At 38.2% G+C, this 17,528-nt stretch overlaps 1 protein-coding gene across 28 annotated transcripts in view; it reads right to left on the bottom strand.

Annotated features, from left to right (window-relative positions):
* The window catches only part of COL4A4 (collagen type IV alpha 4 chain), a 197,129-nt gene that overhangs the window by 175,968 nt on the left and 3,633 nt on the right, over window positions 1-17,528 (bottom strand). For all 28 annotated transcript variants that reach the window (XR_922837.3, XR_001738602.2, XR_007069255.1 and 25 more), the window contains exons 2-3: window positions 4,086-4,257; window positions 1,189-1,231 (exon numbers count right to left, since the gene is read on the bottom strand). Coding sequence is in view for 25 of the 28 variants with exons in the window: in XM_011510565.3 (XP_011508867.1) it covers window positions 1,189-1,231; window positions 4,086-4,156 (114 nt within the window). In the remaining 3 variants the exon portion in view is untranslated. The remainder of the gene's footprint in view (window positions 1-1,188; window positions 1,232-4,085; window positions 4,258-17,528) is intronic.

Consider the following 17,528-nt stretch of genomic DNA (forward strand, 5'->3'; position numbering starts at 1 on the left):
TAAACACGTATGACAAATTCCAAAAAGACACATTCCTGTGTCAATAGGTACGTGCATTCAAAATCCGGATGGGTAATACCAAATCGCTTCCCACAGACATCGCATCGATTTGTATTGCTACCTTTAAAACCCAATGATAATATGGCCACTCCCTGTGTGAAATCTCTAGACTCTCTGCACACCACAAGCTGGTAGAAGTCCTGGGATAGAAAAATCTTTGATTCAGAAATTATGTTTACTTGTATGCAATATTTTAAAAAAAGTAAAATCTAGGACTCTGCAGACTTTTATAACAGGAAAAAGAATATAACACAAAAATAAACTTTTAAAAATCAGGTAAGAGAAATAGAAAAAATACACATGTATATATCATAGTATTGTTTCCACTCATTATTTCAGGTGATACTCTCAAATGCATGTCAACAAAGTCGGGCAAGTCTTATCATCCCTACTCAATACAGGAGATAACTGAGTCTTATATAAGTTAAGAAATGAATCTTTGGCAGAGCCAAGAACCACTGGCTCCTCATTCTTTGACCCAGGTGTTTTCTGCTCCCAACTTGTAGGAAAAGGAGAACAGAAGGTAATTTTGCACTTTGATTTGCTTTGAAAAAACCTACAATAACTTGATTCACTGAAATTGCATTGGGTGAATCCAAGGTGGAGAGTATGAACAGATAGGGTTATGTTCACTAGAGTGATTTAAACCAAGTCAGTTGTCTCAAGATCAACCTGAGTTGCAGGCAGGCCACAATGGGATTTCCCAGACACGTCTGAGGGTGAGTTTAATGACTGGGATTCTTCAGTGAGGAAGCAGAAGAAAGATAGCTTATTACAGAATGTTCTGGGCTTATTTTTCTTCTGAGCTAAAATGTTCAAATTATTCTTGTATTTCTTGATTTAATCTTGAAATGGCCCAGCTGCCTCTTGCCTGTCTCCAAAAAAAAACTTTTAAAGAAAGGGTTATGTTTGTATTAAAATAAAGAAATCCCCAATACCTAGGCAATTCAGAAAGCAGTCTTGACTATACAATATAAAAGAAATCTTAGAGTTTATTTAGTCCTATTCTCCATTTTACAGGTAAGAAAATTGAGTCCCAGAGGGTGATTTCTTTGAAAGTATAACAAAAATTATGCATTCTATAAAGTGAATTTTCACAACGCAACCAGAGCTAGTGAATGTACTTACCCCATATACATATTGTACAGAAAAGAGAATGAGTATAAGTGACCTACAGAAAAACAAAAACGCAGATTAATTTAAACAGTTTCTTTTCATGTGAAACAAAAAGAAAAAGAGTAAAGGAATTAATTCCAGAAAGCTACTTTTTATTTCTATGAGGCTGCTCCTACTAGCCGACTTGTCATCAGTGACAAGATCCATGCTTTCCTCTCTCTGGCTGCCATCATTGCCTTTCCTCTTTTTAATCAGCCAAGAAGTGTGTGTTGAACCCCTTGTGTGGTCCTCATTGTGCTGGGGACCGTGAGGACCCTCTGAAAGTGAGACCTGGAGGGACAGATGAGTGAAAGAAGATGATTCTCAGAATGAAAACTGCAGGAGAGAAGGAAGGAGGCAGCTTTGTTCAGACATGCACATTGCTGAGACCAGTGTATCCCATAATGCCATTTAGTGGAAGCAACTAGAAGGAGGGAAGGTGGAAGGAAACCTAACTGGACTGGGAGGATGGTTTGGAGAAAAAAGGAAATAATATGGAATATTTAGGGAAAAGTTATGTAGTCCAGGGCCTTATAAGTGAGGCAGAAATCCAACTGGGGTAACTTCATTATTACAAACAAATTTTAACAGAGGACATATGCAATTTTAAAAGACCACTAAAAGGCCAAGTGCGGTGGCTCAGGCTTGTAATCCCAGAACTTTAGGAGGCCGAGGTGGGCGGATCACCTGAAGTCAGGAGTTTAAGACCAGCCTGGCCAGCATGACGAAACCCCATCTCTACTAAAATACAAAAATTAGCTGGGCATGGTGGTGCATGCCTGTAACCCCAGCTACTCCGGAGGCTGAGATAAGAGAATCACTTGAACCCGGAAGGCAGAGATTGCAGTGAGCCGAGATCGTGCCACTGCGCTCCAGCCTGGGTAACAGAGTGAGGTTCTGTCTCAAAACAACAAAACAAAACACCCATTAAACATCTGCATATATTTTCTAGACCTTATATTTGTCAAACAGCTTCTGGATCCATCATCTTATTTAACGCTTAAAACAGCTGTGGTTAGAACTTCGGGTCACACCATTCCAAAGGATGGTAGGAGAACTGGGGCTCAGTTCTGGGCTGTGATTTATCTGCCATCCTTGTTCTTTTGTTCTCTGTAGAGCCTTCTCCTCTCTAAAACCTCATGTCCTAAGTGAGCCTTTGTTCTCCACCCTCTACTTCTTCCTCTTTTGCTGAGATGCCGACAGACACTACAGATGTTTACAGGGCTGTGGATCTGGGAGACGAGTAACTGGGTCCAGCCCATACTTAATGGCTCCCACACTAAATTTCCTCTCTCCTCAGCTGTTTTCATGATAATTCCAACACAAGCCAGGTTGGCTTTTCATTGTAGTAACCAAATAAATAAAGAGAAAAATATAAAGGAGGTGTTAAACACCGGGAATCAACTGCTTTAAATCAGGTTGAATGTGTATTTACAACTCTTGCTTGTTAAATGAGTTATTATCACTGGACATTTTTAAATAGGATATGTTGCATTTTATAGCAATTGTCGCTTTTCTCTATATAATCTCATCAAGGATTGTAGGCACAGCATGTTTCTTAAACCTTTTATAGAAGAGCAAACAGACTTAGAAAAGTTGGACAATATGCTCCAAAGAGTGCAGACAGAATGGCCCCGAGGGGGCCAGCTCGGGTCAGGTCCGAAGCTCCTTCATAGTCCCTTTATACTGCACTGGACTTGTTCTTTCTGCCACTGTAGATATTAAAAAGTAAGATCATTCCTTTTTTTTTTTTCTTTAAAAAAAAATCCACAATTAAGATTCCTTTCCATTTCTTCCACGTCCACCCCAAATCAGTTAAGACTGGACCATATTCCTTCCCACCACCTTCACTTCTTTCACTCCCCGTAATTTCTTGTTCATTATCCTCAGAACTTTTTGTATTTTTTCACTGTTTAACATTTCCCTGTGTTAACTCCCAATGTCATTTTGAGTCTCGTTGAACAATCTCATATTGGTTTCCTGTTTTCCTATTGCTGCTGTCACACGTTACCACACACTCAGAGGCTTAAAACAATGCATATATATTATCTTATGGTTCTGGAGGTCAGAAGTCTGAAATGGGTCTGACTGCCAAGAACCAAGGTGTTGGCAGAGCTGTATTCCTTCTGGAGGTCCCCGGGGAGAATCTGATTCCTTGCCTTCTCCAGATTCTAGAGGCTGCCCACATTCCTTGGCTCCTGGTCCCCCTCAACCTTCAGAGCCAGCAGTGGCCAGTTGCGTCTCTCTTGCTGCATCCCGCTGGCCTCTGTTTTTGTAGTCAAAGCTCCTTCTCCGACTGCTCTCCTGCTTCTCTCCTTCACTTCCAAGGATGCTTGTCATTATATTGGGCCCATCCAGATAGTCAAGCTCAGGTCAACTCCTCTATCTCAATGTCAGCTGATTAGGAACCATAATTCTATCCGTAGCTTTAATTACCCCTTGCCATCTTGCCATGTGACATAACATATTCACAGATTCCAGAGATTAAGACGTGGACATCTGTGGAGGGCTGGGGGTGTTATTAATCTGTACTTGTGAAGTAGTCTGTCCTAACTCTTCTAGTTATAGGGACCCTGAAACTTTGGGCATATGTCTTTTGCTATTCAAACCTAGTGAGTAAGCGAGCAAGAATCTGGGGCCTTTCCTTGTGCAACTTCCCATTTGGTGATTTTGTGGATGCATTTCAGGGAAAATTGAGAGGGTTGGTGTTCAATAATAAAAATGAGTCATGAAATGGCAGACATACCCTTAGCTTTCTGGAATGATTTGGCTTTTTGACATATTAAGCATTCAGACGGTTTACATCCATAGAACAAACATTGAGTAGAAATTACTAAATAAAAGCAGGCAATCACACTGAGGATACTCACCAGGGACCTGTGGCCAAGGACTTGGTCAATCTGAAGGAGCACCTCATTAGTACTATGTGCAGAGACCACATCGCAGGCAAGTCTTAGTACTTAAAAAATATTCTGCCAGTCTTCTCTTCCAGAAGGTTCTTGTTGACAAGTGAGGTTCTGTGTTCTGGGTCAAAGTCTGTTCCTGTTAGATATAAATATATCACTTAAAACACAGCATGCATTATAATGTTGAAAATAATTACTTTCATTTTTTATCGTTATGGAAATATTTTCTAAAGGGTAACTTCAACAATCTTTCCTTAGTGATGGTGAAACTGAATAAATATCAGTTTTTATCTTCAGAAATAAAAAATCTTCAAACCCTTTCTATATCATGAATATATTTTTGATAAATGGAAAAATTATGTGTATATATTATATTTTTAAAATATATATTTTTAAATATAAAATATATTTTTATATATGTATAAATAATTGCTTCATTTTGCTATGTGGAATTTTCTTCTGTTTAATTTTTTCCCTTGAACATCCAAGTTAAAATTCACTCAAATGCTTCTTTTACTTTATGAAACTAGAAAAGGAAACTTCTAGTATACAAACATACATTTTTGTATATTTGTACACATACAGCAAATACATATAAAAGTATTTTTATGTAAAATGATACAACCTCTGTGAAAAATATTTTGGCAGTTCCTCAAAAAGTTAAACATAGAGTTACTATATGATCTAGCAATTCTACTCCTGGGTATATGCCCAAAATAATTGAAAACACATGTTCACACATAAACTTGCACATGAATATTCATGGAAGCATATTCATAACAGCCAGAAGGTGAACACAACCCGCATGTCCATCAGTGGGTGAATGAATAAGGAAAATATGGTATATCCATACAATGGAGTATTATTCAGCCATGAAAAGGAATGAAGTGCTGATATGTGCTACAGCATGAATGAATCTCGACAACATTGTGCCAAGTGAAAGAAGCCACATATTTTATGATTCTATGTATATAAAAAGTCCAGAATAGGAAATCCATACAGATAGATAGGCAATTGATTAATAGTTGTCAGGGTTTGGGAGAGGAAAGAATTGAGTTTCTTTCTGGGATGATGTAATTGCAGTGGTTATGGCTGCACAACATTATGAATATACTAAAAACCTCTGAATAGTAAACTTTAAAAAAGTTAAAATGCTGAATTTTATTTCATCTTGTGAATTATATTTTTATTGAGATAAAATTTAATTTTATCAATATAAAATAGAAAAAATATTTTAAAACTTGACTCGAAGAAGTCTTTACTTTGATAAAAGATATATTTGGCTCAAATAATTGAAATGTATCATTTAAAAAACTTTGGCTTCTTTAAAAGACCTGTCTCTATGAGAATTAGGTAGAGAGAAGGAAACCGGGAATGTTCAATGTTACCAACTTTTTTTTTTTTTTTTCTGAGACGGGGTTTTGCTCTTATGGCCCAGGCTGGAGTGCAATGGCGCGATCTTGGCTCACTGCTGCCTCTGCCTCCTGGGTTCAAGCGATTCTTCTGCCTCAGCCTCCTGAGTAGTTAGTGTGCCACCACACCCGGCTAATTTTTTATTTATTTATTTATTTTTTATTTTTAGTAGAGATGGGGTTAAGCCATGTTGGCCAGGCTGGTCTTGAACTCCTGACCTCAGGTGATCAGCCTGCCTCAGCCTCCCAAAGTGCTGAGATTACAGGCGTGAGCCACTGCACCTGGCCATTACCTATTTTTAAACTTCTAGGTAAAAGCTGAGCAAATTAATTCAATGCTGTATGTATGGAAGACTTGTTTCCCAAGTAAGTGGTAGAACAACATTCTACAATAAAGTTTCAATATCAAGCAGAAACTGAATCACTTTGAACACCCAGATCTTTTCCTATCCCTAAATCCATAATTTTAAATTTGTTTTAGTTATAAACTCAGGGGTGCCTAAGGGAGAGAATTCAGTCATAGGTCCCTAGTTTCTGTTTCTGGTTGGGCCAGTAAAGCCCCTTCCTCATCTCTCTTTTCTGCTTATCACTAGAGAAAGAAACTAAAAATCATGGTTTCAGGCTGCTAAAAGCCTAAAACAAAACAAAATAGAACAACAACAAAATAAGGCAGGTTGGACAAGCTTGTCTAAAGCACATCTCAATAAAAACAAATTCTTGTTTTGGAAGGAAAACGCAAATTTTTTGAATACTTAAACAGCATTTGATATTTTTTAATAAATAGGAAACAGTCAAAAATTAAAGAAAAACAAGAGGTATTTACATTTTGATCCCAAAATATATGATACAAATAAAATTCACATGTATTGTGATAAAGGTTGTACAGAGGAGAATTTTATTAAAATAGAGTGTTGTTGTGGTCACGTTCCAGAGAGGGAAGGCCTGATTATGGTCCTAACACCTGGGAGTTTCTCAGTACATTTTAATTGGATGGATGGATGGATGAATGGACAGACAGACAGACGGATGGATGGGCCAATTTGCAGAAACATAACTGGTCTCTCACTAGCCAAAACCATGAAAGGACACTGGGAGTAGCCAATGCATTCTCATCACATGTCCTTGGTTACCATATAATCTCTATGACAATAGCGATTTTGTCTTTTTTTATTCACAGATGTATCCCCAGTACCATCGTAGTGCCTGGAATGTATTAAGTTCTCAATATATATTGGTTGGGTAAATGAACATATAGAAGATACTTTGGGATCTTTTGAATGTAAATCAAGTATATTTAATAGGGGATATGAAAGGAGACTAACTTTGACTATAAGTGAGGGCGTGGAAGAAGGAAGAATGAGGGATAACTGGCCTTGGGAAAAGTGGAGAGAAACTGACACTTTGATCACATGTAGGATATCAAGTCACTTAATTCTTACCATGATTTAGTAAGGAAATTAATATTTTCATTGTGCAGGAAAAAAAGTGAATCAATTTAAGTAATTATGCAAAGTCACAAGGCTAGTAAGTGGCAGAACCAGTTTGTTGACTCCAGTGTGTGTCCCTTCTCCCTAGTGACACTCCAGCTTAGCTACCTTTGGACTTCTCTGCTCTTCTACTAAGAATTCTCTTATTATAAGAATTATCTTATAATAAAAATTTTTTAACTATACACTTTTGTATTAGTCCATTCTCAAGCTGCTAAGAAGAAATACCTGAGACTGGGTAATTTATAAAGAAAAGAGGAGATTAATTGATTTGCATTTCCGCATGGTTGGGGAGGCCTCAGGAAATTTACACTCATAGCAGAAGGCACCTCTTCACAGGGCAGCAGGAGACAGAAGGAGTACTGAGCAAAGGGGGAAGCCCCTTATATAACCATCAAATCTCCTGAGAACTCACTCACTGTCACAAGAACGGCATAGGGGAAACCACCTCCATGATTCAATTATCTCCACCTGGTCCCACCCTTGACATGTGGAGATTATTACAATTCAAGGTGAGATTTGGGTGGGGACACAGAGCCAAACCATATCAGCCCTCCTTTTTTTTTTTTTAACATCTTAAAACTTTCATCTTCTCTTTTAATAGCTACAAAGAATATAATTTCTGGAGTATTATAAATGATGACCTTTAAAATAAAACTACTACAGCATTATTTTAGATGCATCCAATAAATCATAATGTCACAGCAGTCTGATTTTTACCAGCATCAGCTTAAAATAAATGCACACAAGCTCTTTAACAGGAATTTTACATTGCTATTTTTTAAATTCATATTTCCATTCCATTCCCCCACATATATCCTAATGCAATGTATTTCCATACTTGAAAATATATTGATCACATTATTATATTTCTCTGCAACAAAATACTTATGATTATGTCTCTAATTCTTAAAATTTTTTCCAAAATTGGCTTTCATTATAATTATTAGTAGTATATAATTCATCAAAAACATAAATTTTAATCTTGATAAACAATTATTGAATATCAAAAGTAAAATTTTGTGGGAAATATAGTTGTTAGTGAATGAATTGGGCCTTTTTATTTCGTATCAGCTTATGTAGCTCAAGATCAACGATCCTTTCTACTGAAATGAGACAGGTTCAGCAACAATCCTATTCCATTTTAGTTTCCAAAACTGTAGGTACTAATAAAATTTATTCAACATAAACAAGAAGTTGTGAATGAAAAAAATGTGCTACACAAATATCACTCAATTCTTTTAACTTCTCTTGAGTAGTAAACTGCCATGGTCTGAATGTTTGTGTCCTGCACCTCCAATTCGTAGGTTGCAACTTAACCCCCAATGTGTTGGTATTAAGAGGTGAGGCATCTGGGACGCAATTAGGTCATGAGGATTGAGCCCTCCAGAATGAGGTGAGTGCCCTTACAGAAGAGACCTGAAAGAGCTTGTTTGCCCCTTCCTTCCACCATGTGAGGATGCAGCAAGAAGGCACCATCTGTAAAGCAGAAAGCAGCCTGCACCAGACACTGAATCTGCTGGTGCCTTGGCATTGCACTTCCCAGCCTCCAGCACTGTGAGCAATAAACCTCTGTTGTTCATAAATCACCCAGTCTTAGGTATTTTGTTGTAGCAGCCTGAATGAACTAACATATATACCAAGAGTGAGATACTAATTTATCATCTAGAATTAATTTGAATGATTTCCAGGCTGACAAGTCCTCCCTCCATTATGATGAAAACAAAAAGTTGGAAACTCCCTGACCCAGGAGTTGTGGAGCTGGCAGGTTCCTGTTCTTGACACCAGCCAATGCACTGGCCCTCATTCAGCCCCCAGACAGTTCTTACACCCTGGGACAAAGCAGGGTGGTAATATTTGGGAAAAATTGGTGGTTGAGGGGTTGCCTTTCTTTTGAAAAGCAGGGCAATTGTGAAAGAGGAAGTGAAAACTTGGAAGAAACACCCATTTTTGGATAGAGCAATTCTACAAAAGGATATACATGACAATTGAGAATCTGGAAATGGAATCCTTTAGTGAATTTTCCAAGTTGCTTGCATAACTCCTGAGAATCTTTTTGTCTCCCAAGGGTCCATGTGCTTCAGTTTGAAGATCTCTGTCTTGAATGAGCTGCTAAAGGTTAAAAACTGCCCTTTTCACTGTTTCACCAGAAGCAGGCCTTAAAACAAGCCACAAAAGAGTTGCAGAGACTTTTATGACTGTTCTCCTGCCTAAGATGCAACTGCTAGATCACAGCTGAGCAGAGCCTCCATCTTGCTGTTGGCCTGACACTGTAAACAGCAGTGTGCCTGGCGCTTTGCAGTTCGCAAAGTGCAGCCACATGTTGTCTGCAACAATCTAAGAGGGTTTTCTTTGTTGCAACCACCTGTGTTAAGAGCACAAAATATTTTGTTTCAACAAAGCTTTTGACTGCACCAAACAAAAATACCCCATCACTCAGAAGAGCATTCCACTCATCTACCTTCCCACGAATGAATAGGTGTCATCATGTGGGAATAGACGAAGCAGTGTGTTTCTGTTCGAGTCTATCACTATCACCAAAAAAAATTACTTGTATTTAGTCTGTTCTCACACTGCTAATAAATACACACCTGAGACTGGGTAATTTGTAAAGGAAAGGGGTTAATTGACTCACAGTTCCACATGGCTAGGGAGGCCTCACAATCATGATGGAAGGTGAATGAGGAGCAAAGTTATATCTTACATGGTGGCAGGCAAGAGAGAATGAGAGCCAAGCGAAAAGGAAAATCCCTTATAAAATCACCAGATCTCATGAGACTTATTCACCACCACAAGAACAGTATGGGGCAAATCACCCCCATTGATTCAATTATCTCCCACTGGGTCCCTCTCAGGAGACTTGGGAATTATGGGAGCTACAATTTAAAATGAGGTTTGGGTGGAGACACAGCCAAACCATATCATAACAGCAACAAGCCAAAGTGTTATAGCACTAACATTGCAGACAACAGTTTTAGAAGATTCCCTCTACAGGAAACTTCTGCAGAGGTGCTGTGCCTTTTAAAGGGCATTATTTTGCTAACTGTTATTCTCAAGAAGGGAGCATTCTCTACAGTTGTGTCAGAGCCCCACCTTCAGCTCAGCTATGTGGAAGCATGACCAGGTTTTCTATCACCTGATTTTGTCTCCCCAGCCACACGGAAAGGCTCGAGATAAGCCACTGACCCAAAGCAGCCCAACCCAGAACTTGGCTGAGTGACAGAGAACTGACTCTGGGATGAGGATAGTACAGACAGAATGTGGATCACTCCTCTAGGAGAGTTGAAATTAGGAAACCGAGACAGGAGAGAAAGAGAGAGATGAAGAAAGAAAAATGCATCAGGAGATACCCTGACCGTAGAATTGGACATTAGATGGCTGAGGCAGGCCAAAGTGAAGGGCAAAACTGAATATAGAGAAAATGGACACACTGAGTAAGCATGAAAACCTGTTTCAAAAGAGGAAAATGCAAAAAGAGAAGGACAGATGGTTTCATGAAAGGATAAATGATCAGCTTACTCCTGAGAGCTGCCCCATTCCTGACATAAAGTCTTACGTCAATTTACTTGAGCAAACTGACCTCTGCAGCCCAGTTGGACAGAAGGCATGGCCCCACCCTTCACAGCTGGGTCCAAAGCTCCACCACCACAAGAAGCAGCTCACTTCCTCCTCCTCCTCTCTTCCAAGAGGGAAATGGAACATAAGCACCCTGGGCCTTTGAAGTCCACCTTGCTCACCAACCCAAGTAAGATCCACAACCTCTTTCCCAGCGGCAGTAATTTCCAGCATGTACATTCAGCAAATACCATTTTGTTATCCTCCTCTAATTCCGTGAGGCTTTTTTCTCCCCCCTTCACTCCTTTATGAAAATTCCTGGACTCCAATTCCCCTGGGACTTCTTATGAGTCTCTGCCCAATGCTTTCCAAATGACAGGTTTGGGAACAAGATCTGAGATCTTCCAAATCATTATCTCTACCACAGGGAATTTATTTTCTCAGCAACCCAATCTTGAAAACAAATACACCCTGCTGGGGTTCTCATCGAATGGGGGAGGAGAAATGTCTAAGATTGGGGGACCAGATAAACAGAACACTGAGTATTGGATGCTTCCAGTCACAGAAAGGTAACAGAAGCCTAAAAATGTTTTCTCCTCTTCCAAAGTAACATTAAATCTTTGATTTCTGTTTAATGATAATTTTTTATTGGTTCAGTAAAATAATTTACTACTAACTCACTGACTGCACATATTTTCCTTTTTGGCCTTTCGACACTGAGCCATCTGAATACTCTCTTTCCAAAATAATTTTTGTGATTGCTTGAACACCTGTTTCTATATACATTTCTCTTTCTAAAACAGAATTCTCGAATATTCAGCTTTTGTAGAGAAATAAGCAGAGGATCTCAGAGGTCATGAAAGTGTTCCCAGAAAAAGAATGACATGTCTTATTCACATCCATCTACCTGGACACCTCCTTTGGAGGGCTACATTTTTTTCTGTTCAGAGTCAACCTAACCATTTCCCAACATACAAGCTGGTTACTTGGTTTTGCTCTTTCTAAAATCCCACCTTTTGGGGTTGACCCTACCTTCAGACTTTCAAAGAATTTAGGTTGGTTTGAGCTCTTTAGCAAAACAGTCACTCTCATCCCACATCCCAAGGTTTTCAAAGTGGGTCATGAGTCTATGTGGTCCATGGACCACCGGAATGTGGATGGAGCTTCATGTTTTCTGAGAAGCAGCAAGGAAAACTGGACAATTACTCAACTAAATTCTTGAGAATGACTCGGAGTTCCAACTTGATCAGAATGTGCTGGACTATGGCCAAGCCCACCCCCACCTTTCCTTCCCTCCAGATTCAGCTGAACTGTTTGAGACTGCTGCAGAGTCCTCAGTTGACACTGGAGTTGAGTTTGTTAGTGCAATTGGACCAGATCTCAGTTCACCCACCATCTGGCAATATAGGCTTTTATTATCATTTTCCCCTTGAGGTCTCCTCCCAATATCAACAGAAAATTTGACAGCAACCATAATAATGTCACTTCTCGGAACCACAAGAAGGTAATACATGTTCCAAAATTATACAACTGACTTTCCAAATCAGAGGAGCCCTTTGCCTCCAAGTTAAGAATGACATCTTGATTCAGAGTATTGTCAAGTCTCTTGCCAAAACCACTAATCCCCCACATTTGTTTTGCTTTATGATTTTCCCCATAAGTAGGGCTGGAGACTCTATCTGAATTCTCTGGACCTTTCAGACCTCCTGGAATTGCCTTGGGCGTGAACTCCAGCGGTAATACTCAACAATTCCACTAGGCAGGGTCCACTCCCAAATACAATGTGAGGCTAGCATTTGCCTTCGATGACTTCTCACCTCTGCTGCCACTGCCCCTACATGGAAACCATCTGCCTCCCTCCATTGCTATCTCTGTGCTCATGGTTACTGAATAAAAGTAGAGCTTTGAAGTTAAGAAGATTTGTGTTCAGATCTTGATGACTCCCATCATATAAGTAATTAATTAATTATGCAACTAAAAATTACACTTCGCCATGTAATCCTTAGCAAGTTTGTAGCCCCTGTGAACACTTCATTTCTCAGTGTGTAAATTAATACCTAACAGACTTAAATGAGTAGGACTTGGTGCCTACCGCAATGCCTGGCATGTAGGAGCAGCTCAATAAATGTTTCTTTCCTTCCTTTCTAATCTGCCATGGAGGAAAAAAAAAAGAGCTCACAATACATTGGGAAAAAGCAATAAACATAAAAACCCGGCCGGGTGTGGTGGCTCACACCTGCAATCCCAGCACTTTGGGGTGCCAGGGTGGATGGATCACTTGAGCCCAGGAGTTTGAGACCAGCCTGGGCAACATGATGAAACCACATCTCTACAAAAAAACAAAAAATTTAGCCAGCTGGGTTGCACGTGCCTGTATTCTCAGCTACGTGGGAGGCTGAGGTGGAAGAATCACTTGAGCCTAGGAGGCAGAGGTTGCGTGAGTGGAGATCAGGCCACTGCAGCCAACCTAGGTGACACAGTGAAACCCCGTCTAAAAAAAAAAAAAAAGTGAAAACCAGGGCACACCAGGCAGACCCCAGGAAGCAGATAAGACTTGATTTAGGAAGGAAGGAAGATCTCGGGAAATGGAAAAAAAAAATAGGAATAAGCTATGACAGTACCTTATAAAGTATCTTTTAAACATCAGGAGAGAAAAATTACAAGGGATAAATTTTTCAGTTAGTTAGAAGGAGATATACAGAAGGACAATTCTAGGTAGAATCACAGTCAGCATAAATTCACTCTGAGAATAAAAGACTGGAAAAAGATATACCACACAAACAGTCAGCATAGGAAACCTATAATGGATATATTAACAGCACATAAAAAAGACTTCAGGATAGGCAGTGACCCTTGATAATGATTTAAAAATTAATATTGCAGGAAGCTATAAATATTAATATATGTGCTTAACAACAGAACTTCAAATTAGATGAAGGAAAAACTGCAAAATTGAAGGAAAAAATAGACAAATCCTAAAATATAATTGGGAATTAATAATCTTCTCTTGGTTATTGATAGAACAAAGTATAATACCAGTTAAGACACAGAAGATCTGAACAACACTATCAACCATCTTTACTTAATTTAATATATACTAGGACACTATACCAAGCCATAATAGTATATATTCTTTTCAAATGGACATGGCATATCCACCAAAATAGATCATATGCTGGATCATAAAACAAGTTTCAACACATTTCAAAAGACTGAAATCTTGCAGATAATTACACTAGAATTCAATGGTAAGCCATCTAGGAAAGTCCCAAATATTTGGAAATTAAACAGCACACTTCCAAATAACCCATGAGTCAAGGAAGAAATCAGAAAATGTTTTGAGCTGAATGATAATAAAAACACAACATATCAAAATTTATAGGATGCAACTAACCCAGTGCAGAAAAGGATCTTCTAGGTATAAAATTTCCTATTAGAAAAGAAAAAAATCAAGAATCAATTACCTAAGCTTCTATCTTAGAAAACTAGGAAAAGAACAAATTAAACCTGAAGCAAAATGAAGAAAATAATAAATATTAAAGAGGAAATTAACCAAGGAGAAAGCATTCAAACAGTAGAGAAAAATCAATGAAACCCAACATTAGTAGTTGGTTCTGTATACAACTGATAAACCTGAAAACTTGGGAATATTAAAAATGACAATATGACAGTATTAAATGACAAAGGGGATTAAAAAGATAATTAGAGAATCTTCTTATAATTATATGTCAATAAATTTAACAATGTAGAGGAAATAAATAATTTTGTGAAAGACATCAATTATCAAAACTGACATAAGAAACAATAGAAAATTTAAATGGCCCTATAGCAATTAAATTTATAATTAATGAATTTTGTAAGTAAAAACCTTCCCCAAAGAAAACTTCAGGGCTAGGTGGCTTTACTAGTGAATTCTATCAAACATTTAATGAAAAAATAATACCAGTTTTTTTATATCCTCTTTCTGAATATAGAAAAAAAGAGAGTGCTGGCCAACTTATTTTATGAGGCTAGCATTATTCAGATACCAAAACTGACAAAGATATTACAGGAAAACTACAGAACAATATATCTTGTGAATATAAACATGACTCTCCTTAACATAATATTAACAAATAAAATCCATATATATGTAAATGCAAATGACCTAGAATAGCCTAAGCAATTTTTATAAAAAGCAACAAAGTTGAAGGACTTACACTAGTCTTGCTAAAAAACTAGTCATAAGAATGATGGTAAATGAATAGACATGTAGATAAATGGAACCAAAAGACTCAAACATGATGATCAATTGATTTTTCACAAAGGTGCCATGGCAATCATGGCAATTTAGTGGGGGAAAAAGTCTTTTCAACAACTGGTGCCACAACAAGTGGATATTCACATGGAAAAAAAATTTAATGAATCCTTATCTCATACCATACCCAGAAATTAACTTAAAAGAGATCATTGAGGTAAAAGTAACAATACTACACAAGAAGAAAACATAGGAGAAAATTTCTGCAATTTTGGCATAGGTATAGAGTTCTCAGGTAACAAGAAAAGCACAAATCACAAAAGAAAAAAATTATAAATTATATTCCATCAAAATAAAAACTTTTGCTTCTTAAAAATAATAAGAAAATGAAAAGACAATTCTCAGAATGGGAGAAAATACTCACAATACTTGTATCTAACATTGATCTTGTATCCACAATATATAAATAACTCTTACTATTCAACAATAAGAAGATAAAAAGCCAAATTTTAAGCGGAAAAAAGATTTGAATAGGCACTTCACAAAAGAAGCTACATGAATGTTCAATAAGTACATTAAAAGATATTCAACATCGTTAGTTATTGGAGAAATGCAAACCACTCTGGGATACTTCTGTATAAACATTAGGATGGCTAAAATTAAAAAATTAACAGCAAAATAAATATATGGAGCAACTGGAACTCCTATGCATGGTATTCTACCTTGCATTGAGAAGGTAGAATAAAACCACTTTGGAAAACTATTTCTTTTATAATTAAATGTACATCTACCATATGACCTAACCATTTCATTCCTAGGTATTTACTTAAGAGAAATGAAAATGCATGCCCACAAAAAGACTTGTAGAAAAATATTCATAGTAGCTTGATTTGTAGTAGCCCCAAACTGGAAACAATCCAAATTCCCAAAAATAGGTAAATGGACTTTTTTTCAAAGTGTGATCTCCACACAATGGACTACTACTCAGCAATAGAAAATAACAAACTCCTAATCTACACAACATGGATGAATCTGAATATTGCTATGCAGAGTCAGAGAAGCCAGATGTAAGATAGTATACACGGTATAATTCCGTCAACACAAAATTCTAGAAAATGCCAACTAAAATGAAGTCTACAGTGACAGAAAGCAGATCAGTAGTGGTCTGAGGATGGGGTTTGGAAAGAGGGATGGATAGCAAAGAGGCAGAAAGAAACTTCTGGGAGTGATAGAAAAATACTGCAGCTTGATGGGCAGTGGTGGTTTCATAGGGTGGATGCATCGGCAAAACTTTTTTAATTCCATGCTTTAAGTGGATGCAATTTATGGAACATAGATTATACCTCAAGAAATATACTTTTTAGATTCCCTAATGATATGGTTTGACTTTGTGTCCCCACCTAAATCTCATCTTGAATTGTAATCACATAATCCCCATATGTCATGGGAGGGACCCAGTGGGAGGTAATTGAATCATGGGGGTGGTTTCCCACATGCTATTCTCATGATACTGAGTGAGTTCTCATGAGATCTGATGGTTTTACAAGGGGCTTCCCCCTTCGCTCAGCACTCATTCTCTCTCCTGCTGCCCTGTGAAGAGGTGCCTTCCACCATGATTGTAAGTTTCCTGAGGCCTCCCCAGCCATGCAGAATTGTGAGTCAATTAAGCCTCTTTTCTTTATAAATTACCCAGTCTCAGGTGATTCTTCATGGCAGTATGAGAACAGACTAATACACTTAACAAATAATCTCTGAACATTCCCTCAAAGGCTTTGTAATATAGAACAACAAATCACCACATATTATTTCTGTGCTATATAATAAAGTTCTGGACAAAGGTGTTCACAGGGACCATGCTCTTTAATCCTTGACCTAGATCTTAAAGCACAGGTAGTTGTAGAAGACAGACCAAGAAGGAGGTCCCTGTGGGCAGAGGCAATAGTAAATACGAAGGTGTGAGGTGAGGAAGTCTGTATAGTGAACCAGAGAAATCATAAAAAGCTTGGGATGACACAAGAGATAAAACAAAAATGTTGACTTGAGACCACACTATTCTATTCCAAGAAATGTGAAATCAGTTGTGAAGTTAAAGGGGAACTTCTGGAAGCTTTTAAACAAACAAGTGGCACGATGTGTGTGATGAGTATTACTGACATTTGCCACCTGTTTCCCACTCTTTCCAGGCATGTGGTAGATTTCATTTCCCTGCCCCTTACAGAATAAAGCATGATCACGTGATCCACTTAGCCAGTGAAATGTGAGTAGAAGTAGCCTGTGTCACATCTAGGAGGAAGGTTGAAGGGTAGTTTTACTTTAGCACATTCTCTTCCCCTTCTGAGGTGATTAGAGAAGATGTTGAGAGGGAATTTCCAGGAGGTCCCTGAGTGGCTACAATAAACAGAGGACCCCCACCCCATTCCCACCTCCCCATGTCCCGTGATGAATATGTAGTAGAAATGATAAGAAAACTTCCATAATGATAAGCCTCTGGACTGGGGGGATTGTTTGTAACTGCCTCTAAAGTCACCTGTCCTTGCTAGCATAATTTGCAATTTTAATTGGTAACTCTGATAATTACATAGAAGATGAGTTTCAGAGTAGAAAGCCTGCAGGACAGAAAACTAGCTAGATAGCTACCATAATCCACAGATGATAGTGCAAGGCAGGAGCCACGAACTTAGAGAAGCAGAAGAGGAGTCCAGAGATGCAATGGCAA

The sequence above is a fragment of the Homo sapiens genome, chromosome 2 (assembly GCF_000001405.40).
Source record: "Homo sapiens chromosome 2, GRCh38.p14 Primary Assembly".
In the NCBI taxonomy this organism is placed as follows: domain Eukaryota; kingdom Metazoa; phylum Chordata; class Mammalia; order Primates; family Hominidae; genus Homo; species Homo sapiens.